The following is a 23,533-nucleotide window of genomic DNA, read 5'->3' on the forward strand; positions in this document are numbered from 1 at the left end:
TCTGATCATTTTCACAGTGACTGGCACCCAAGACCTTCTGTCGCCCGGCCACTACTTTCCTCTGTCGTTCCGCTATTCCATGCTCCCTGCCTCAAACATAATATGCCCAAAATATCAGGTCAGGATACGAGAGTGTTAAGTGCCAGCATTACCTGGGAGCTTGTTAGGATCTCAGGCCCCACCCTAGACCCACTGAATCGGAACCTGAATCTAAGCAAGCAAGATTTCCCAGGTGTTGTGTGCGCATGAAAGCACCGGAGGCACTATCTAGAACCTGCTGGAAGGGCCTGTTCTGTGCAAGGAACTTAAGCTGCCCCTCAGGCTCTGTGGTCCTTGGCACTGAGGCAAGATTCTCAAAATAATCTCTGATTCAAGGGATTCCGCTCCGAAAATTACATTGGAAATTGTTTTTCCTAATTTGCATAAATAAATAAACTTAGTAAATGGGCTTCATCTGATTTTTACTTTTTTCTCTTACAAATTCTTTTCTAAACTTTGGGCCAGGCGTGGTGCCGGCACACATCAGCATTTTGGGAGGCTGAAGCCAGCAGATCACCTTGAGGTCAGGAGTTAAAGACCAGCCTGGTCAACATGGCAAGACCCTGTCTCTACTAAAAATACAAACATTAGCCGGGCGTGGTGGCTCACGCCTGTAATCACAGCACTTTGGGAGGCCGAGGTGGGCAGATCACAAGGTCAAGAGATTGAGACCATCCTGGCCAACATGGTGAAACCCTATCTCTACCAAAAATACAAAAATTAGCTGGGCACTGGGGCATGCGCCTGTAGTCCCAGCTACTCGGGAGGCTGAGGCAGGAGAATCGTTTGAACCCGAGGGGCGGAGGTTGCAGTGAGCCGAGATTGCGCCACTGCACTCCAGCCTGGCGACAGGGTGAGACTCTGTCTCAAAAAAAAAAAAAAAAGAAAAAGAAAAGAAAAAAATATTATTTTCTAAACTTTGACATCTGCTGCTACTTGTTGGCTAACAAGATGTCATCTGCTGGCAAACAAAATGAGTAAACTACTAGGAAATAAATGGTAATGTTAAAATTCAACATACCTGGTGTTCAGTCTAACAGTTCAGTTCAACAACAGCAAAAAATAAAAATTAAAACTTTGAGTGTTAAGCTTCTATTAATGTATGAGATACTAGAAGAAGGTCTGAGGGATGCATAGATGAATGAGATATATTGTATAGCTTATTCCCCATGACTGTAAGGCCACATGTGCCTGTAGTACTGGGGCACTGAATGGTACTTCAGCAATGACCATCCTTTTATTAGAATCCTTGGGATGCTACTAGTCTGGATTTGCAGAATTCACCAAAATGAATGACTTTTGCTATTACCTGTCAAGTTGATTTCATCTTCTGTGTCCAGACAGCTATCCAAACCAATATAACCAGGAAATTTACTCTGGATTCCTCAGATCAATAGATGAATGGTTTTGTTGTTGTTTTGTTGTTGTTTGAGACGGAGTTTTGTTCTTGTTGCCCTGGTTGCCCAGGCTGGAGTGCAGTGGCGTGACCTCAGCTCACCGCAACCTCCGCCTCCTGGGTTCAAGCAATTCTCCTGCCTCAGCCTCCCGAGTAGCTGGGATTACAGGCATGTGCCACCACCACACCCAGCTAATTTTGTATTTTTAGTAGAGACGGGGTTTCTCCATGTTGATCAGGCTGGTCTTGAACCCCCGACCTCAGGTGTTCCACCCACCTCAGCCTTCCAAAGTGCTGGGATTACAGGCATGAGCCACCCGGCCAATGAATGGTTTTTAAAACAAAAATCACAATGAGCCTGTTGCCTTTTATTGGCTTTGGTTTTAGGAGGAGAAACTTTAAAAGCTTGGAGTTGAAGGATAATGGTTCAACCTTTCTTGGCGTGTAAGTGATTTATGACCTCCTAATTTAACGAAAGTAACAACAGCGAAGACAAGCCACTTATTAGCGTTTCCTGGCAATTCCATCAGGGAGATAGGGGTTGGGGCCTTGAGAGCCCAAGAATTAAACAACAGCTGAATGTTATTCAAAATCTAAATTCATTATACACATTGTTGCTTTACTAAAATCTTTACTAAAATGTGATCAAGAAAGCCTTGGCAGGGCACGGTCTTGAAAGATGAGTACCAACTCATCTTGGGCAGGCAGATATCTTGCCAGGCAGATAGGGTGGGGAGAGCCTTCAGGGCAAGGGAGGAGCAAGGGCAAGAGTCTTGAAGGCTGAAGAGTGAGCAGGATGTGGAGAGGAAGTTTCAGGCTCCACAGGGTCATGGGGGCAGGCCCAGAGCAAGGAAGAGAGAAAGGAGGGTGATCCAGGGAGGTGAGTTGATGAGAGGAGGCAGATGTACTAAGTCCATACATGAGTGCAGTATTTGACAGTTTGCAAAGCACCTTCATACCCACTATCTCACCAGGTCCTGCTAGCTCAGTGATGAGGTGGGACACCTAACGTCCTCACTTCCAGGTGATGAAATGGAGGCCTGGAGGAGTTTCTAAAGTCGTACAACTCCTAAGTGGTGGAGCCAGGATTAGAATGAGATATTTTGACCTCTGGACACTGCTCTTTCCACCATAAACTGATATGTTCCAGGAGCATTGAAGAAAGCTTCCTAGCATATTGGGAAGAAAACTCATGGTTGGGGTGTGGCTGGGTGGATGGATGGGCGGATGGATGGATGGATGGATGGATGGATGGATGGATGGATGGATGGATGGATGGATCAATGGGTGGATGTGGAGATCAGAGTCTCAAGAGAAAAAGAGTTAAGAGTCCAGCAGTTGTGCAGGTGAGATGGGGGATTCAAACGTCTATCAGGAAGGTGGATTTGTGAGATACAGAGGCAGTGGAGTGAATAGAACTTCATGTCTGACCACATGTGAGAATGAGAAAGAAATAAGAGTGTAATGGCCGGACACAGTGGTTCAGGCCTATAATCACAGCACTTCGGGAGGCTGAGGTGGGCAGATCACCTGAGGTCGGGAGTTTGAGACTAGCCTGACCAATGTGGAGAAACCCTGTCTCTACTAAAAATACAAAAAATTAGCTGGGAGTGGTGGCGCATGCCTGTAATCCCAGCTACTCAGGATGCTGAGGCAGGAGAATCACTTGAACCCAGGAGGCAGTGGTTGCGGTGAGCCGAGATCACGCCATTGCACTCCAGCCTGGGCAGCAAGAGCGATCAAAAAAAGAAATAAGAATGTAGGATAACACCCAAGTTTTGACCTTGGATGATTAAAGGACCACAAAGGAAAACAAACTTAAACCTTACAGCCAAAGTGGTAAAGGTAGAGATGATGAATGTTAACTTCGAATATGTCTAATAGTCAGTTGATATCAATGGATCTGGAATTCAGGAAAAGTGTCTGAGATATCCAGGAGATTCATTAGGTCATCAGCGATCAAAGGTTAGCATTTTATTATAGATGTTCACTGTGTTATTATAAATAACGTTAAAAAAGAGAAAAATAAAAAGGAAAGGTCTTAAACATGTAACAGTTGCAGATTGGCTCATTTATGTTACAGCCATATATTGAAATGCAATTCAGACCTTAAAAATGAGTGCTGGCTTTGGGAGGCCAAAGTGGGCAGATTACTTGAGGTCAAGAGTTTGAGGCCAGCCTGGTCAACATGGTGAAACCTCATCTCTACCAAAATACAAAAATTAACCAGGTGTAGTGGCATGTGTCTGTAATCCCAGCTGCTTAGGAGGCTGAGTGAGGCAGGAGAATTGCTTGAACCCAAGAGGCAGAGGTTGCAGTGAGCTGAGATGGTACCACTGCACTCCAGCCTGGGCAACAGAGTGAGACTCCGTCTCAAAAAAAAAAAAAAAGGAGTGCTGGTTTAGGAGGTCAATGCTGGAGGATCACTTGAGCCCAGGAGTTCGAAACCAGTCTGGGCAACATGGCAAAACCCTATCTCTACAAAAAAAAAAAAAAAAAAAAAAAAAAGTAGCCTATATTCCCAGCAACTCAGGAGACCGAGGTGGGAGGATCACCTGAGCCTAGGGAGGTTGAGGCTACAGTGACCCATGATCGCGCCACTGCACTCCAGCCTGAGCAACAGAACAAGACTCTGTCTCAAAAAAAAAGAAAAGAAAAGAAAAAGAAAAAAGAGCGCTAGGCTTGTGGGTGCTTTCCCTTCCTTGGTGATACTAACATCTGTCGCTGGCAGGGTACTTCCCAGCCCAGATCAAAATGAAGTGGGCTTTCCCTACTTTATGTCCTCAGATCTTCTCTACTACCCAGTGAGGGACGAACTGACACTTTATTACGGAATCACAGATGAGATTCCAGAATAAAGATTCTTTATTCTTTCCAAAATAAAGAAGTAGTATGATTGTGATAAGAAAAAAGGAGAAAAGAAAATGTTATTAAAAAAATTGGCCAGGCACGGTGGTTCACGCCTATAATCCCAGCACTTTGGGAGGCCAAGGTGGGGAGTTTTGCTTGAGCTCATGAGCTCGAGATCAGCCTGAGCAACATAGTGAAACCGCATCTCTACTAAGAATACAAAAATTAGCCAGGTGTGGTGGCACATGGCTGTAGTCCCAGCTACTCGGGAGGCTGAGGGAGGAGAATCGCTTGAACCTGGGAGGCAGAGGCTGGAGTGAGCTGAGATTGCCCCACTGCACTCCAGCCTGGGCAACAGAGTGAGACTCCGTCTCAAAAAAAAAAAAAATAAATATATAAAATAAATAAAAATAAATTAAAAATGACATCACAGCCCAGGCACAATGGCTCATACCTGTAATCCCAGGACTTTGGGAGGTTGAGGCAGGAGGACAGCTTGAGCCCCAGGAGTTTGAGAGCAGCCTGGGGAATATAGTGGGACCCCGTCTCTACTAAAAAAAAAAAAGTTTTTAATGACATCACAGACGCCAGAATTGATTCACGAGAGTATATGTGAGAGCTGGTCTATGAAGGCAAGAGTGGCGGGTTTCTCCCCATTGGGGAAAAATAGAAACAACAGGCCCACCCAGGGGCCTCATACCTAATTCTACCACAACCCTGGGAAGGGCTCTGGAAGCCAAACCCTCCCCACATGCTAGCCCCAGCCTGTCTTACCCGTGCCTGGAGGGTTCCTTCTGGAGTCTTCTGGGCAGCTGCCCTGGGGAGCAGGGGCCCGTGGAGCTCAGCCAGGAGGCCTTGCGTAGTTTGCCTTGGGAGGTTATTACAGCCAATCCACATAGATGCGAAAACCAAACCAAACACAGCCTACCAGGAACAAGTAACGATTTGTTCCTTTCTTTTGCTTTTTCTGACAGTAGATGCAATCTATCGTGATTCTTAAGTGTTTTTGGGCTAGTGCCCATTCCATTGTTTTTGCCCAGAGAGGCTCACCAGGAATGAGCTGGAAGGAGACACAAGCCCCTAAGTACCTCGGGACGCTTGCTTGGTGAACAAGAGGAGGAAACTCAGAGAGCAGGGCTGCCGGCCTCCTTGTCTTTCGATGCCTCGTGTGGCCACCCCACCGCACGAGCCATAGCCAGCCATCTGTCTCAGTATTTCATTCTCTTGAGGCTGAGCTAGTGTAGTGGCTGTGTCAGGAACCCTGCCTGTTTGTGCAAAGAATTCATTCTTCCAAGAAGGATGAGGATCAAATTCACCTCCACATGGCACACACCGAACACCGAGGCTGTGAAAGGCTGGCCCGTGAGTGTCTCCAGGTTCAATATCGATTTGTCAATTGTAGAGAAAACCAGCAGTTCTAGTTCCCAGAGACCACCCTGTGAATTGAAATAAGAAGGAACGGGGAGAAATTGGAGCTATTTTTAAGCTCAGCTTCTGAGGCTTATTTTAGGAGGCATTATTGATCATACTTCGGGGAAACCGTTCTGCGTCGCTGGTGCCAGTGTCTACATGTGCACATGTGAAGTGTTGGCCTAGACTCCTGAGACCATCTGTGTGCCCAAGGGAGGCTGCAGCCCAGAGGAGAATTCGGACTGAGGCTACTTTGCACCAAAATTAGGCCAAACTCATGAAAGGGCCATTGTTGCAGCTGCCCTGGGAACTGTAACTTAGAAGTGATTTTGTGCCCTTACAGCCTCTTTAGTAAATGAATTGAGTCATAGCATTTGTGATCCTTCCGCATGTACTTTGGTACTTTTCTGTACTTTTCTGTCCTCTTTTTTGTTTGTTTGTTTGTTTGTTGAGATGGAGTTTCATTCTTGTCGCCCAGGCTGGAGTGCAATGGCACGATCTCAGCTCACTGCAGCCTCAGCCTCCCGGGTTCAAGCAATTCTCCTGCCTCAGCCTCCCGGGTACCTGGGATTACAGGGGTGCACTACCACGCCCAGCAAATTTTTGTATTTTTAGTACAAAATGGGTTTTACCATGTTGGCTAGGCTGGTCTCGAACTCCTGACCTGAGGTGATCCACCAGCCTTGGCCTCCCAAAGTGCTGGGGTTACAGGCATGAGCCACCGTGCCCAGCCTCTGTCCTCTTAATGAGTTACCATGATCTAGGGCACCTGATTAGAACGTTGTTTTTCCAAACAGCATCTTTTTCTCATCGGTCACTGTATCACTCTGATCACTGCCCCTTGAATCTTCTTCCTCACCCTTTATTTCACCCAGATGAGCCAGGGTTTACCGTATGTGGGACTTCAGGTCATGGCACAAAATGGTTCTCAACCCTTTTGTTGAGCACCGGTTTGCTGGTGCTCTTTTTAGACACAAACCCTGGAATAAACGTGCCCTTTCCCTCAAAGGGACCCCACTGTGGATTCCTATCCACTTTGTTATCCTTTTTACTCTTAGATCTCTGCCTCACCACTTTCCCAGGCAGCCTCTGCTTTTTCATCTTACTGTTCTCATTTTCGCCTGGTGCGTTCGTCAGCGGCTTTTTATGTTAAACTTCGCAGATGAGCCACGCCTGAAGTTATTCCTGTCCTTCTTTCTCTCCGGTGTATTGTTGTTGACAGGTTTTTATCTGTTGTTTTGAATTTTCTGTGACCTTTGGGGTGGGCAGAGAAAAAAAAGGACAAATGTCCACCATCGGCCGGTCTGAACGCCACATTTAATGTGTTCTTTTTGAGTGTTCTAACCCTTCCTTCTTCCTGCACACATTTAATAACAGAGAACCAAAAAAAGCCTAGTTGCCTTCATTCATGAATATTTGGGACAGTGAGGCCTCAGGGAAGGCCAGCTTTTCTGGCTACAGGGACGGTCTTAATCTGGAGAATGGAAGAAAGAGGTCCTTTAAAAACCAGAGAGTTGGCTGGGCACAGTGGCTCATGCCTGTAATCCCAGCACTTCGGGAGGCCGAGGTGGGTGGATCACTTGAGGTCAGGAGTTTGAGACTAGCCTGGCCACCATAGTGAGAACCTGCCTCTAATAAAAATATAAAAATTAGCCAGGCATAGTGGTGCACACCTGTAACCCAGCTATTTGGGAGGCTGAGGCAGGAGAATCACTTGAACCCAGCTGCAGAGTTTGCAGTAAGCTGAGATTGCACCACTGCACTCCAGCCTGGGTGACAGAGCAAGACTCTGTCTCAAAACAAACAAACAAAATTAAACCCAGAGAGTTGTAATAGTTTCCCAGGGCCGCCAAAACAAATCATCACAAATTGGGTGGTTTGAGACAACAGAAATTGATTCTCTTGCAGTTCTGGAGGCCAGAAGTCCCAGGTCAAGGTCAGGCTCTTGGGGATGATCCCTCCTTGCCTCTTCCAGCCTCTGGTGGCTCCAGGCGTTTCTTGGCTCAGGGCTGCAACACTCTAATCTCTGCCTCTGTCTTTACATGACTTTCATCCCCCTGTGTGAACTGCCCTGTGCCTTAATCGTATCTGTGTCCTCTCCTCTTCACATAAGGATACCAGTCGTCAGATTTAGGAGCCACCCTAAATCCAGGATGACTTCATCTCAAGATCCTTAACTAATTACATCTGCAAAGACCCTATTTCCAAACAAGGTCACATTCTGAGGTTCCTGGGAGACATGAGATTCGGGGGGACACTCTTCAACTTACTATAGGAGTATTGATGCCTCTGCCTATAGAGGAGAATCAATATATACCATACAACCCAGCAGTCCTACTCCTGACTATTGACCCTATGAAAATGAAAACCAGGCCAGGTGCAGTGGCTCATGCTTATAATCCCAGCACTTTGGGAGACCAAGGCGGGGGGTGGATCACTTAAGGTCAGGAATTCGAGACCAGCCTGGCCAGCATGGTGAAACCCTATCTCTACCTAAAAATACAAAAATTAGCTGGGCGTGATGGTGCACACCTGTAATCCCAGCTACTAGGGAGGCTGAGGCACGAGAATCACTTGAGCCTGGGAGGCAGAGGTTGCAGTGAGCTGACATCGCGCCACTGCACTCCAGCCTGGGTGAGAGAGCGAGACTCCGTCTCAAAAAAAAAAAAAAAAAAAAAAGATATGTATAACTTTTATTGGTGGTTGCCAGTTTCTTCCTTGTATTTGACTGCATTTTTCGAATTAAAAACATCTTGTTCCTGGCTGGGCATAGTGGCTCACGCCTGTAATCCCAGTACTTTGGGAGGCTGAGGCAGGTGAATCACCTGAGGTCAGGAGTTAAAGACCAGCCTGGCCAACATGGTGAAACCCCGGCTCTACTAAAAATACAAAACTTAGCTGGGTGTGTTGGCCAGCCCCCCATAAACCCAGCTACTCAGGAGACTGAGGCAGGAGAATCACTTGAACCCAGGAGGTGGAGGTTGCAGTGAGCCAAGATCATGCCACTACACTCCAGCCTGGGTGACAGAACAAAACTCCGTCTCAGAAAAAAATAAAAATAAAAACACTGGCCGGGCGCGGTGGCTCATGCCTGTAATCCCAGCACTTTGGGAGGCCGAGACGGGCAGGATCACGAGGTTAGGAGATCGAGACCATCCTGGCTAACATAGTAAAACCCCATCTCTACTAAAAATACAAAAAAGTAGCCGGGCATGGTGGCAGGTGCTTGTAGTCCCAGCTACTCGGGAGGCTGAGGCCGAAGAATGGCGTGAACCCGGGAGGTGGATCTTGCAGTGAGCCGAGATTGCGCCACTGCACTCCAGCCTGGGCGACAGAGTGAGACTCTGTCTCAAAAAAATAAAAAATAAAAATAAAAAATAAAAACATCTAGTTCCTGAGAAACTTTTTAAAAAAGAAAGAAAAGCAACCAACCCTAGAGGATATGCTTTATGCCTTCTAACAGGCATGTCCATGAAGGGGCCAGATTGAACAGTTTAGGAGTCCACCACTTATTTCTGTGTGCTCAAACTGGGAATGACCATGATGCTGAATTTCCCTAAACTCCTATCTTGCCAGCCTTCTTGGCAAAGAGTTCTATCTGGAAGTTTAAGTAGTTTAATTTAATAGAGAGAAATATTATTCAGTGACTCGGAAAAGAATCAGGCAAGCCTCCCTTCCCGACACCATGAATACCCACGTTTTTTAATCGGCTCCCTCAAGGTGACCCAAGATCCAGGGGCTCTTTTCTACTTGTGCTTCTTGGCCCCCCAAGGACCCCCACAGGCATTCTCACTCTACTGCCAATCACTCCACCAGGGGCTCAACATCCCTCTCTGGAGCCCTAGCCAACTCTGTGTGTGCCAGCGTCCTCGCTTACTGCCGGGGATCCAAGGACAACATGCACAGTGCCCGCAGATGATGCTGAGGGCAGCCGCCTTACTCCACCCCACCTTCATCTCTGATCAAAGCTTTTCCACCATCAGGTGCTCCTCTGAGAGCTTTCTCCTCCCCTCCCCGCTCCCAGCTCACCCCCCACCCCCACCCAGTGCCATCTGCAGTGCCATCTGCCCCCAGTGCCATCTGCAGGCTTGTGGGTGTGTGTCAATATTTCACCCAGCTTGTCTGCAGCGGTGTGCCACTCTTAGCCTCAGAGGAGTCCTCACATCGCCAGCTCACACCCCTGAGAGCTTGACCATGTCCTCATGAACTCACCGTCCTTCCCAAAATCCCATAACTAAAACAGCCTGGAAGTGTCACCAAGGCCCAAAGACAGCCTTCTGAAGATTACTTCTCAGTCTCTTAGCCTCCCTTTTCCTCTCCTCTGCTTCAAGCCCTTTATTTATTTGTTTTTGTTGTTGTTTTTTGAGACAGGGTCTCACTCCGTCTTCCAGACTGGAGTGCAGTGGCTCTGTCACAGCTCACTGCAATCTTAACCTCCCAGACTCAAAAGGTCCTCCTGCCTCAGCCTCCCAAGTAGCTGGGATCATAGATGCTTGCCACCACACCTGACGAATTTTTAAAATTTTTGTAGAGACAGGGTCTCACTATGTTGCCCCGGCTGGTCTCGAACTGCTGCACGTAAGCAATCCTCCTGCCTCTGCCTCCCAAAGTCCTGGGATTACAGGCGTGAGCCACTGCACCTGGCCTTAGAACCCTTTAAAACTCACACCCAGTACACTGGAGGGTAACTGAGCTGTCACTGAAAGGACACAGGACAGTGTGAGGAAAACAGAAGGGCACAGCAAGCCAGTCTCGCGGAGATCTGCAGAGGTGTTCTCTGGAGCTCCCCTTCCAACCCCTCACCCTTCTCTATCCCTGCTGCATAGGCTTGTCGCCACCTCACTGGGGACAGAATTTTCTCAGACACTCTCAGGCCTGAAACCTTTGCCTTCAGTTTGCTTTACAACTCCCTGCTGGCTCTGGAAAAACAATTTTCCCCTCTGCGCCAAAGGCCTAATGATATTGTCCACCAGAAAGGGTTCTCCAGAGAAGCACTGAAGTTTACCCAGCAGCTAAGACGATCCGGCCTAACCCTGATGGATGAGTTTCCTTTACTCAGCCTTAATACCCCTGAAATCCTGTGGCAAGTGGAGCGTTTGATGGGGATTAAATAAAAGCAGTTTACCTCCCACTGTATTACCAAATGGGGTTTCAATTCCATTCTAAGACCAAGGTCAGTACGGGAGTGGATCTGGGGTCATCACTGCCCTAGAGCCCCGGCACCAGTAGGCAGTTCTCTGGGGCCCCCACATGGAAACCTCAGCAGCCCTGAGCTATATTCCTGGCCTGGCGTCTCTGGACCACACTGCAGGCACGATGTGGGGTTGGATTCTTTCTTCACGACACCAATTGGCCAGTCTCTTGTATCACCCCTGCTGGCCAAATAATCATCTTGGACCCCGACCATTATGGACCTATATTGAGTTCCCTCCTTGCTGAATTTGGACTACTAGAGTACTCTTGTCTGAAGCACATTTTATTTTATTTTATTTTATTTTATTTTATTTTATTTTATTTTAAGACAAAGTTTCACTCTGTCACCCAGGCTGGAGTGCAATGGCGCGATCTCAGGTCACTGTAACCTCTGCCTCCCAGGTTCAAGCGATTCTCCTGCCTCAACCTCCCTAGTAGCTGGTACTATAGGTGTGTGCTGCCACACCTGGCTAATTTTTGTATTTTTTGTAGAGACGGGGTTTCGCCATGTTGGCCAGGCTGGTCTCAAACTCCTGACCTCAAGTGATCCACGTGCCTTGGCCTCCCAAAGTGTTTGGATTACAGGTGTGAGCCACTGCAGCTGGCCTGAAACATATCTTTTAGTACTTTAGTAATATATGGATTATATGTCATATAATATCGATTAAATTGTGTATTAAATCTAGTCTCCACAAAATCATAGCCCCTTTGAGAGTGGACCTTCTCTTACACATTTTTCCAAGGCACAGTGTTGAACACACAGTAGGTGCTTAACCAATATTTGCCAATTCATTGAATGGTGGGCATTCGGCCTCTTCATCTCTAGAGTGCTGTCCTTAAGTACAGTAATTCTATCTTAAGAACAAATAACAGTTACCCAACTCTGTCTTCTGCAAAACAGAAAAAAGAATAGAGACCAAAAATGGTTCTGAGGCCAGGTGCAGTGGCTCACACCCGTAATCCTAACAACACTTTGGGAGGCCATGACAGGAGGATCACTTTAGCCAGGAGTTTGAGACGCACCTGGGCAATGTAGCAAGACCCTGTATCTATTTGCAAAAACTATGATTACTTTTGCACCAACCTAATATTTAAAAAAAGACTCACTCCTGTAATCCCAGCACTTTGGGAGGCCAAGGCAGGCGGATCACGAGGTCAGGAGATCGAGACCACGGTGAAACCCCGTCTCTACTAAAAATACAAAAAATTAGCTGGGCGCGGTGGTGGGCGCCTGTAGTCCCAGCTACTCGGGAAGCTGAGGCAGGAGAATGGCAGGAACCCGGGAGGCGGAGCTTGCAGTGAGCCGAGATTGCGCCACTGCACTCCAGCCTGGGTGACAGAGCGAGACTGCATCTCAAAAAAAAAAAAAAAAAGAAAAGATAGTGGTTTTGAAGAGACCCATAAAGAGTATCTTTTTTATTCCTATCTTAATGACCATGTAGAAGACAAGTTGAAATACTCTTGGGTTGGATTGTATATTCATATATATATATATATTCATAAATAGTCATGTATATATTTATGAAACAGTCACCACTGAATTGTGTAGCTGGGATAATGTTCTCAGTGAGATGACCCATAGAGATGGTTTTCATCATTGGTGGTAGCCTGGACTTTTTTTTTTTTTTTTTTTTACAGCCATTAGTGCTTTTCAGGCTCTCTCCAACTGAATATGCTGCTATTAGATAATAATCAATAAACCATGAACTGGCCAGGTGTGGTTAATTCCAGCCCTTTGAGAGGCTGAGGCAGTTGGATCACTTGAGGTCAGAAGTTCGAGACCAGGCCAACATGGTGAAACCCCATCTCTACTAAAAATACAAAAATTAGCCAGGTGTGGTGGCGCATGCCTGTAGTCCCAGCTACTTGGGAGGCTCAGGCAGGAGAATCACTTGAACCCAGGAGGCAGAGGTTGCAGTCACGCCAATGCATTCCAGCCTGGGTGACAGAGCAAGACTCTGTCTTTAAAAAAAAAATAGCGATAATAATAATAAACCATGAACCAACACTAGACCCATATGCTTAAAGTATTAACTAGCAGCCAGTATACCCTCCCTCCACCAAACCAGTAGCCACTTTGCCGGTGCAGAGCATGAGCGGGACAACATTGTTAAAACATGAATTCTGCTTCCAGTGTTCCTGCTGGCTGAACCTGTACTTTGTTGGCGTGTCTTCCTCAATTGCTTCCTCCAGCGAGCTCCCAAAAGCCAAAAAAAAAAAAAAAAAAAAAAAGTTATAGTAGAGAGGATCAGTGGTTTGGCTAGGCTTCTCTGTCTCTTTAATCGTATCTGAAGCATAAAACAAGATGACTGGTAGACTTTTCTCAAAATCCCTCCTAATCAGCCACCTCTACCTTGTATCCTCAGTAGCTTGTACAGATGGCAGGAAGATAAAAATCTACACAGCTACTAGGCTTGCACCTTCCCCACCACCTGCCCAGCCCTTCAATTTTTAGAGGATAATAGATTTTCTTTTCTTTTCTTTTCTTTTTTCTTCTGAGATGGAGTCTTGCTGTGTTGCCCTGGCTGTAGTACAATGGCGTGATCTTGGCTCACTGCAATCTCCACCTCCCGGGTTCAAACGATTCTCCTGCCTCACTGAGCCTTCCCGAGCAGCTGGGACTACAGGCATACGCCACCATGCCCAGCTAATTTCTGTATTTTTGTAGAGACGGGGTTTCATCATGTTGACCAGGCTGGTCTGGAACTCCTGACCTCAGGTGATCCACCTGCCTTGGCCTCCCAAAGTGCTGGGATTACAGGCATGAGCCACCTTGCCCACCTTAGATTTTATTTTCTAGAGCAGTTTAGGTTTACAGAAAAATTGTGCAGAAAGTACAGACATTTTTCATCTAAGCCTGGATCTTAAACCATCAAAGTTTCTGTTGTAGAGAAAAGAGCTGCAGAATTCATGATTCCCAAAATTGTGGATTTATGAAGAGCCACCCTACATCGTGATCTTGGTGGATTTTATCTAGAGAAATCACCAAATCTAGAAACAAATCTAGAAATGAAGCAAGAGCAATTGCAAAATTTAGAAAAACACTTCTGTTCAAAGAGAAATCTAGGCTGATAAGACACATTCCATGCTTATCAGTGTACCTGTCCCTACTCAATTATCACCACACAGCACGTAATAGTTCATGAAATGGATTTACCTTAATTTATTTGGCAATTCTCCCATAGTAGGATATTTAAACTGTTTTCTTCCTTTTTCAATCTTATTTTTCTTGACATTATAATAATGTTGCAATAAAAATATTTGTGCGTAAGTCTTTTCCTTTAAGATTATTTTCTTTTTCTTTCTTTCTTTTCTTTTTTTTTTTTTTTTCCTCAGGGTTTCACTCTGTCACCCAGGCTGGAATGCAGTGGCACACTCACGGCTCATTGCAGCCTCCACTGCCTAGGCTCAAGCAGTCCTCCCACCTCAGCCTCCTGAGTAGCTGAGACCACAGATCCATGCCACCACACCCAGCTCATTTTTAAATTATTTGTGGAGACAAGGTATCACTATGTTGTCCAGGCTAGTCTCAAACTCCTGGGCTTAAGCCATCCTCACAAAGTGCTGGGATTACGGGTGTGAGCCACTGTGCCTTGCCAAGATTCTTTTCTTTCTTTCTGTTTTGTTTTTTTGTTTGTTTTGTTTTGTTTTGTTTTTTATTTATACCGAGTCTTGCTCTGTCATGCAATCTTGGCTCAGTGCAACCTCTGCCTTCTGGATTTAAGTGATTCTCCTGCCTCAGCTCTTGAGTAGCTGGACTACAGGCACCCGCCAATATGCCCAGCTGATTTTTGTATTTTTTAATAGAGACTGGGTTTTGCCATGTTGCCTAGGCTGGTCTCAAACTCCTGACCTCAACTGATCCACCTGTCTTGGCCTTCCAAAAGTGCTGGGATTACAGGTGTGAGCCACCATGCCTGGCCACCAAGATTCTTTTCTTAAGATAAATTCTCAAAATGTAAGCTTACTAGGTCAAAGTATATCAAGATTTGTAAGACACTTGATACTTATTATTCTTAATACTTTACAAAAAAGAGAAAATTACTCCCTTTTAATTTTGGAATCTATAACATGGTAATTATTCAGATTTGCCTTCCCCATGTAGCATTTCTAGGTTCATATTTAAAGGAATTTTTCCTACTGAGCAGTTATTCACTCTCTAGTGTGTGTATGGCGGGGGTGGCCACGGGAGTCAACCAGATTGACACCAAAATCCACTGCAGATGATTTGTGGGTAGAAAGTAGAAGGGAAAGAGGATAAACACTTTTCCTTCTCCCTGTCTCTGATAAATAGCCAAAGACAGGAACATTATTACAGGTGATATAGGAAAAGTGCCTCCGTGACCTCCCACACCCAGGTCCCATCTCAGGAGACAAATTCAGCCCAAGGAGCAAACGAGACCATGAAGTTCACAGCACTCCAGTGTCAGGTGCCCCCCTGTAAAGCTTTGGCTTGATGCAACAACAAAAGGCATTCGCATCCTAACGTGACCTCAGCAGATCTCTTCCTCCACCTCCAAGAGCCGGGAGTTGTACCAGAGCTCTGGCAGCTGCACCTGCCACCACCGGGGAGCCCAAATGAATCATTGCTGTGGCTGAGTGTTTTCCTTTGGGGCCCGGTGAAGCCACTGCTTGTTTTTAATGGTGTTGGCTTAATTCTGGCTCCTGCCCTGAACTGAGTGTGACGATAAGAACATTTCACCTTGTCCCTGCTCTCCAATTACACCACATCAGGACCGCTGCCACTTCCCACTGCTCCGTGGCAGCCCCTCTATGTACCACCCAAGTTGGCTGACTGTGGGATGATAGGACAGAGAAGGAACAAGCCAAGGAGCAAGACAGAGGAGACTAACAGGACGCAGAGGCCACTCTTAACACCACAGGCTTTTTAACTGAAAGGAATGTTAATGGTCACCTGGGTCACTTGATCTCAGTCTCCTTAGGGCCACAGATCTCTGATGATCAGATGAAAGTGGTCGAACTCTCTTTCCAGAAAAATACGCCTTCTCAAATTTCAGGATGTCTCCCAGAATCCCTGAAACCCATTCATCTAGACTAAGTTGTGGTTTGTTTGTTGTTTTTTTTTTTGGTTTTGGTTTTTTTTGAGACAGGATCTCACTCTGTTGCCCAGGATGAAGTGTAGTGGCGTGATCTTGGCTCACTGCAACCTCTGCCTCTCGGCTCAAGAGATTCTCATGCCTCAGCCTCCTGAGTAGCTGGGACAACAGGTGCACATCACCACGCCCAACTAATTTTTGTAATTTTTATAGAGACAGGGTCTTGCTATGTTGCCCAGGCTGGTCTCAAACTCCTGGGCTTAAGCCATCCTTGCACTTTGACCTCCCAAAGTGCTGGGATTACAGGGATGAGCCGCTGTTCCCAGTTAGACTAAGATTTTAATTTACAAACAAGGACATGGAGGCCCAAAGAACATGCAGGAATTAGCCCAAGGTTACACAGAAAATTTACTGAATTTACTTATTTATTTGAGACAAAGTCTTGCCCTGTCGCACAGGCTGGAGTGCAGTGGTGTATCTCAGCTCACTGCAGCCTCCACCTCCTGGGTTCAAGCAATTCTCCTGCCTCAGCCTCCCTAGTAGCTGGGATTACAGGCACATGCCACCACACCCAGCTAATTTTTGTATTTTTAGTAGAGATGGGGTTTCACCATGTTGGCCAGGCTGGTCTTAAACTTCTGACCTCAGGTGATCTGCCCACCTGGCCTCTCAAAGTACTGGGATTACAGGTGTGAGCCACCATGCCCGGCCAGATAACTGAATTTAAACTCAGCTCTCCTGATTGCCAATGTAGGACCCATCAGCCCATAGTAGGAGGCTGTCACCCTGCACTGAGCCCTGTGGCAGCAATTGTGGGAAATTAGGGTGCTTACAACCAAGGAAACAGGATCTCAGACTCATGAAAAAAAAAAAAAAAACCTAAGATCAATGAGTAAGCAATATTCCTGCCATAGAGTCCTCTTTGGAAAGTAGATGCTAATGCCTTCTGTTAGTTCTCCAGGCACTTATTGAGCACCTATGAACATCTCTTAAGCTCTAATCACTGGGAGATTCATTATTTATTAGAAATTAAAACTCGCCTGTAATCCCAGCACTTTGGGAGGCCAAGATGGGTGGACCATCTGAGTTCTAGACCACCCTGGCCAATATGGTGGTAAAACCCCATCTCTACTAAAAATACAAAAATTAGCCGGGCGTGGTGACAGGCGCCTGTAATCCCAGCTACTCAGGGGGCTGAGGCAGGAGAATCGCTTGAACCCAGGTGGCAGAGGTTGCAGTGAGCCGAGATCGTGCCATCGCACTCCAGCCCGGGGGACAAGAGTGAGACTTCATCTCAAAAAGAAAAGAAATTAAAACTCATCATCTCAAGCCTGAAGAGGATGTTGGGTTCCTCAATGTGATTTTTTGTGATTTGTTCAGATGGTGGGTACCCCACCCTGAAATATTTACTACAAAGTTCAAGTAAAGGAGCTTCCTCGTGCTTGCTATTCCATGGACTTTGGCATGAGAATTAGGCACGCTGTTAATGAAGGAGACCAGTGGTTGGACTAAAGGATGCCTTGGTGGCTTCTACTGCAGCCTTAGCTATTCAACAGAGGAACAGAAGACTCCCATGTTGCTGGGAGGTTCTCAGTGACAGTTTCTCAGGACACACACTTTTTAAGTAGCAGGAGACTCAGATTCTGAATTTTTCTTTCTAGAAAGATGCAGGTAGCAGTTTTGATTGATGTTTATCTTAGCGGTTGGATGCTAAGAGGCGGTTTTGTTTTTGTTTGTTTGTTTTAATCATGGAAGGACCTGGTGAAGCCTACAGACTTGCCCTCCAGTCTGAGCTTCTCTGCTGACTGGCCATGTGACTTTGAGCAAGCCTCTTTACTTCTTTCAGCCTTGGTTTTCTCATCTGAAAAGCAGGAATAATATTAATATGGGCATAATGTTCTTAAAGCAACATTAATAGTTCCCTTCCCTAGTTTTACAGCCTATTCTTTTCTTTTTCTTCTTCTTCTTTTTTGTTTTTTTTTTTTTTGAGATGGCGTCTCACTGTGTCGCCCAGGCTGGAGTGCAGTGGCACAATCTCGGCTCACTGCAATCTCTGCCTCCCGAGTTCAAGCGATTCTCATGCCTCAGTCTCCTGAGTACCAGGGTTCACAGGCATGTGCCACCACACCCGGCTGGGGTTTCACCATGTGGACCAAGCTGGTCTCGAACTCCTGACCTCAAGCCATCCACCCGCCTTGGCCTCCCTAAGTGCTGGGATTACAGGTGTAAGCCACTGCGGCCAGCTGACAGCCTATTCTTTTCTTTCTTTTGCAGCACATACTCCATTCTGCCTTGTATTTTTGGTGATAGCTCCCCAGTCTGTCTCTCCTACTAGATGGTAACCTCTCAAGGGCTATCTTTGTAGTCCCTCAAGCCCAGGGCAGCACTTTGTATGCAATGGGTGTATCAGTCAGGGCCCAATCAGGAGATAGAAACCATGCAGTAATTTGAATAGGAGAAATGTAATAGAAGGAATTATTGATCTCTGATGGGAGCAACTATAAGGATGTAAAGGGAACTCCAAAGGATACCCTAAGGCTGAGAGAGAATACCCAGGAAGGACAAACTTGGCAGGGGCCTCTCTGCATGGCTGGGGTTCAGACTTCATTGGAGAAGCAGGATGGTGGGGAAGTTCACGAGGTTGACCTGAGCCAGGGCTGGTTCACAGTGGTTGAGCAGCAGAGCGCCCTCTGGGGTGCAGGCCAGAGGAGGTTGGTGGACAGGGGTGTGTGTGGAGAGAGAGTCGGGGCACGCTGCCAGTGCAAGGCCTGCAGCACGCAGTGCCTGCAGCAGGAGGGCCACCGTGAAGTGGTTACTGGGCCCAGGCTAGGGCTGCAAGGTCACTGAGCAACTATGCACTCCAGGCTTGCAGCTGGGGCAGAGCATGACCGAAAGTCCCCACAGGCACACTCTGCAGCCCAACAACATCCAAATCTGAAGAAATCCCCTTCCTCTTGCAGTGGCCCTTTAGGGCCCCCTACTGATGAGGCTCACTGTAAAGGAGAAATGCTTACAGGGTCCAGTCCATGATCTCAGAGCAGAGGCATAAGGGCGACTTTGGAGCTAAGGCAATACTATGAAAACTGCAATGGGTGCAATGAGGGATCAATAAAATGTTTGAATTAAATCGGAGAAAGCTACATAACCTGTCATGCCCCCCCTTCATCCGTGCTTAGTTCCCTTTCTTTGAGTCCTGTAGATTTTGCCACCAATAAATGTCAAACCTTTTTAACTACTTTTGTAATTTACTCTCTGGAAGCTCATTTCCCTCTGGGGTATTCTGTGTGTGTGTGTGTGTGTGTGTGTGTGGTTTTTGTTGTTGTTGTTGTTTTTGAGACAGAGTCTCACTCTGTCGACCAGGCTGGAGTGCAGTGGCACGATCTCGGCTCACTGCAATGTCCACCTCCCAGGTTCAAGTGATTCTCCTGCCTCAGGCTCCCAAGTAGCTGGGATTACAGGCACATGCCAACATGCCCAGTAGGGACGGGGTTTCTCCATCTCATCATGTTGGCCAGGCTGGTCTTGAACTCCCAGCCTCAAGTAATCCACCTCCCCCAACCCGCCCGACATCAGCCTCCCGAAGTGCTGGGCTTACAGGTGTGAGCCACTGTGCCTGGCCTCTGTGTGTCTTCTTAATGAGGCATGTGTCTCTCTTCTCTTAGCTCATACTTAAAAGAGATTTGCAGAAAGAAAGAAGGAGCGGGGGGGACTGGCTCTCGCAAACAGTGTGAGACCCAGTATTTTATTTCACAACTTATTTCTCCACTTGAACTTGAACTTGTTTCTCCACTGTCTGTTTCATTTCGAGGCAGTTCACTTGTCCCTCCCAAATGCTTTAGGAGTGTCCTGAAGCACTTGACTTCAAGTAGCAGTGGAAAGAATCAGAGCCAATCCAAGAACCAATCTTTCTCTGACTTGGAGAAGTCAGTGGCCACCTCGGGTCAGACTAGGGAGTTAATCTCCTTGGACAAATCTGAAGAGTCCAGTCTCCAAATATTTAGAAAAGAATAGGCAAGAAGAGAAGAACCACCAGCCGACTTGGAGGATAATTACAACACAAATATTATTCAGAAAGCATTTAGAAAGGACTAATCGTTTCAAGTAACTTGAGAATCCAACCGAGATGAGTTGAGCCTATAAAGAGCCCTTCAGATGCCCTCTTGTGGGAGACTGTGTTAATAGGCACCAAGTTTGGGTTAGGACAGTGTTCTTGGGTATCAACCACCCTGTTCTTCCAAAATATTGCATTCTCTCCCGAAGAGTCAGATGTAATTAGTGTTAACTGTTGATTCCCTCCAGGAATGAGCTAAACAGTGGGATGTGGCTACAGTTAAGACTTCCTCTAAGAATGAAGTGGTTGTCCAAACTTAAATCTGTTGGCCGGGCATGGTGGCTCACGCCTGTAATCCCAGCACTTTGGGAGGCCAAGGCGGATGGATCACTTGAGGTCAGGAGTTCAAGACCAGCCTGGCCACCATGGTGAAACCCCCATCTCTACTAAAAATACAAAAATTGGCCGGGCTTGGTGGTGGGCACCTGTAGTCCCAGCTACTCAGGAGGCTGGGGCAGAAGAATGGCTTGAACCCAGGAGGCGGAGATTGCAGTGAGCTCAGATCCCACCACTTCATTCCAGCCTTGAGACTCCGTCTCAAAAAAAGAAAGCTGTTTATCATCCTGCAGAAGGATGATTATCCCTTTAGACCAGAAAAATGACAGTGAGAAGAACTAGAAGAACTTAATTTTTCCACTGAAATTTAGACTTTTTTTTTTTTTTGAGACAGTCTCACTCTGTCACTCAGGCTGGAGTGCAGTGGCGCAATCTCGGCTCACTGCAACCTCTGCCTCCTGGGTTCAAGTGATTCTTCTGCCTCAGCCTCCCAAGTAGCTGGGATTACAGGTGTGCAGCATCACGCCCGGCTAATTTTTGTATTTTTGGTAGAGACAGGGTTTCACCATATTGGCCAAGCTGGTCTCAAACTCCTGACCTCAAGTGATCTGCCCACCTCGGCCTCCCAAAGCGCTGCGATTACAGGCATGAACCACTGAGCCCAGGCCGACATTTATATCTATATATTGCGGCTGTGTTGTTGTTGTTGTTATTATTATTATTATTATTATTATTATTATTATTATTATTATTTTGCAAGTGATGTGCATTCTGGGCCAGTGAAACCTAGAGCAGATTGGCAGGAAACCATCTCAGTGTCTTACCAAGCTTTACCTTGTTACCTTTATGTGTACAAAGGAAATTGTGCCCTTAAATGATCAAGAAAAACAGGTGTGTTTCCCCTGGATAATGAGATTGTGGTTTATTTTCTTATTTTTGCTTATCTATATTTTCTGCAATGAGCATGTTTTATTTGTGAAACTAAATATATATAAAAATATATGGCCGGGCGCGGTGGCTCACGCCTGTAATCCCAGCACTTTGGGAGGCTGAGGCGGGCGGATCACGAGGTCAGGAGATCGAGACCATCCTGGCTAACACGGTGAAACCCCGTCTCTACTAAAAATACAAAAAATTAGCCGGGCGTGGTGGTGGGCGCCTGTAATCCCAGCTACTCGGGAGGCTGAGGCAGGAGAATGGCATGAACCCAAGAGGCGGAGCTTGCAGTGAGCCGGGATAGCGCCACTGCAGTCCAGCTTGGGCGAAAGAGTGAGACTCCGTCTCAAAAACCAAAAAAAAAAAAAAAAAAAAAAATATATATATATATAAAATATATATTTTTAACATATATATAATTTTAATTTTAAAAAACACACACTTTTCTAACTCTTGGCCTATATCCCTGCTTTTTGACTCAAATTTAGCCAGACCCTTTCCAACCTCTTTACTCCTCCTGTTCAGGTGAACTGCCAAAAATCAGCAGACTTCAGTTTGGGAAGAGATTTTTTTTTTTTGGAAGAGATTAATTTCCTCACTCTTGAACTCCTAAAAACAGCCCAGTTTTTCTTCTACCTCTCACCAAGCAGTGATTGATGCTACACCTGCCTCTGATGTGACAAAACCAAAGCCATGAATCAAAGCCTTCTATGATTCTTGCGCATTCTGAGGCTGGTGAAAGCACTAGCCGGGGGCCCTGAGACGTGTGAAGATGCTCTGTGTGGGGGTTATTCTGCCTCGGGCACTTTGGAGGGTAACACCTGCTATCACTAACCTTTGATATGTTGCTCTGCTTTTTCAGATTTTCGACAATGAAGCCAAAGACGTGGAGAGAGAAGTTTGCTTTATTGATATTGCCTGCGATGAAATTCCAGAGCGCTACTACAAAGAATCTGAGGTAAGCAACAGTTGGGATGAGATGTGGAAGATTCATTCATTCATTCATTCCACAACTATTTCTTAAGTGCCTCCTAACTTGGGAGGATGCCATCTCTCGTCGTGTGGATTCAATTTGCTTTCGTATCTTGCTGGTTCTTTTTGCAAGTCTCAAAATTAAGTCTCTAACTCTTCAGGGACCATCATTGGCCCTGGCTGTTACTCAATCTCCACTTAGTTTTCCTGTCTCCCAACTCTGCCATCATTTTTGGCAACGTCAGTATCCATAGGGCTGGACCATCCAACACACTGGCCTTGCTGAAAAACAACAGTCTCCCCAATTACATGCGCTCTTTTTTTTTTTTTTTTCTTTTTTTTTTTTGAGATGGAGTCTCGCCCAGGCTGGAGTGTGGTGGTGTGATCTCACTGTGGCATCTGCCTCCCAGGTTCAAGCCATTCTCCTGCCTCAGCCTCCTGAGTATGTGGGATTACAGGCGCCCACCACCATACCTGGCTAATTTTTGTATTTTTAGTAGAGATGGGGTTTCACCCTGTTGGCCAGGCTGGTCTCCAACTTCTGATCTCAAATGATCAGCCCACCTTGGCCTCCCAAAGCACTGGGATTACAGGCATGAGCCACCTGTGTTTTATTTGTATCTGAATCAATCCTTGAAAACTTTGATAGCTCATTCCAGCACAGCTCCTTTCTCTCAAAACAGCAAGCACCTTAATGAGGACATCTCCTTTGTTCTTGGCTGAGAATAAATTTCAGAGAACTTCTTTCTGTCTGGTTTTCAACCTACCAGGATCCATCCTTTGCCTTAGTTCTACCTTCTTGTTATACGGTTTGTGCAAGTCACCATTTATATCCCATTAGTATTTTATTAATGGCTGCTGACGGAACTTGGGTGACCCACTTGTAAATAACATCCCAGCCCTGCAATGACAGCAGATGCAGGGCTATTTTTGTTGGTTAGCGACATGCCACCAATCCCAATATGTTTGGAATCAGGGCCCCAGACTCGTCCTTGAGCCGTAACACGTGGACCTTGAAACTCTTCTCCCAGAGTCATCAAGGCTGATGGGAGACACAATAAATAAACTTATTCAAAATGAATTCTGTCGTTACGCAAATAAACCAGGCTCCCGACGTGGTTCAGATTTCTTTTGCCTCCACATTTTGGGGTTCATTTCGGTATAAAAGTCTTACCTGATCTTAGCAAATGCTCGGCTGCTTAATTGCAGGCGCTTATGTTCAGCTGCTGTCCCTGAAAGGGCTGGGGAGAGGCTGATGTGGATCACTCTGTGTTGCTCATCTCCACCCAAAGG

The 23,533-nt window shown here is 46.3% G+C and overlaps 1 protein-coding gene across 3 annotated transcripts in view; it reads left to right on the forward strand.

Moving 5' to 3' along the window:
• The window catches only part of PITPNC1 (phosphatidylinositol transfer protein cytoplasmic 1), a 319,976-nt gene that overhangs the window by 232,732 nt on the left and 63,711 nt on the right, over positions 1–23,533 (forward strand). For all 3 annotated transcript variants that reach the window (NM_181671.3, NM_012417.4, XM_047435746.1), the window contains exon 6: positions 22,131–22,226. In NM_181671.3, coding sequence (NP_858057.1) covers positions 22,131–22,226 — 96 coding nt within the window. The remainder of the gene's footprint in view (positions 1–22,130; positions 22,227–23,533) is intronic.

This window comes from Homo sapiens, chromosome 17, assembly GCF_000001405.40.
Source record: "Homo sapiens chromosome 17, GRCh38.p14 Primary Assembly".
Classification (NCBI taxonomy): Eukaryota; Metazoa; Chordata; class Mammalia; order Primates; family Hominidae; genus Homo; species Homo sapiens.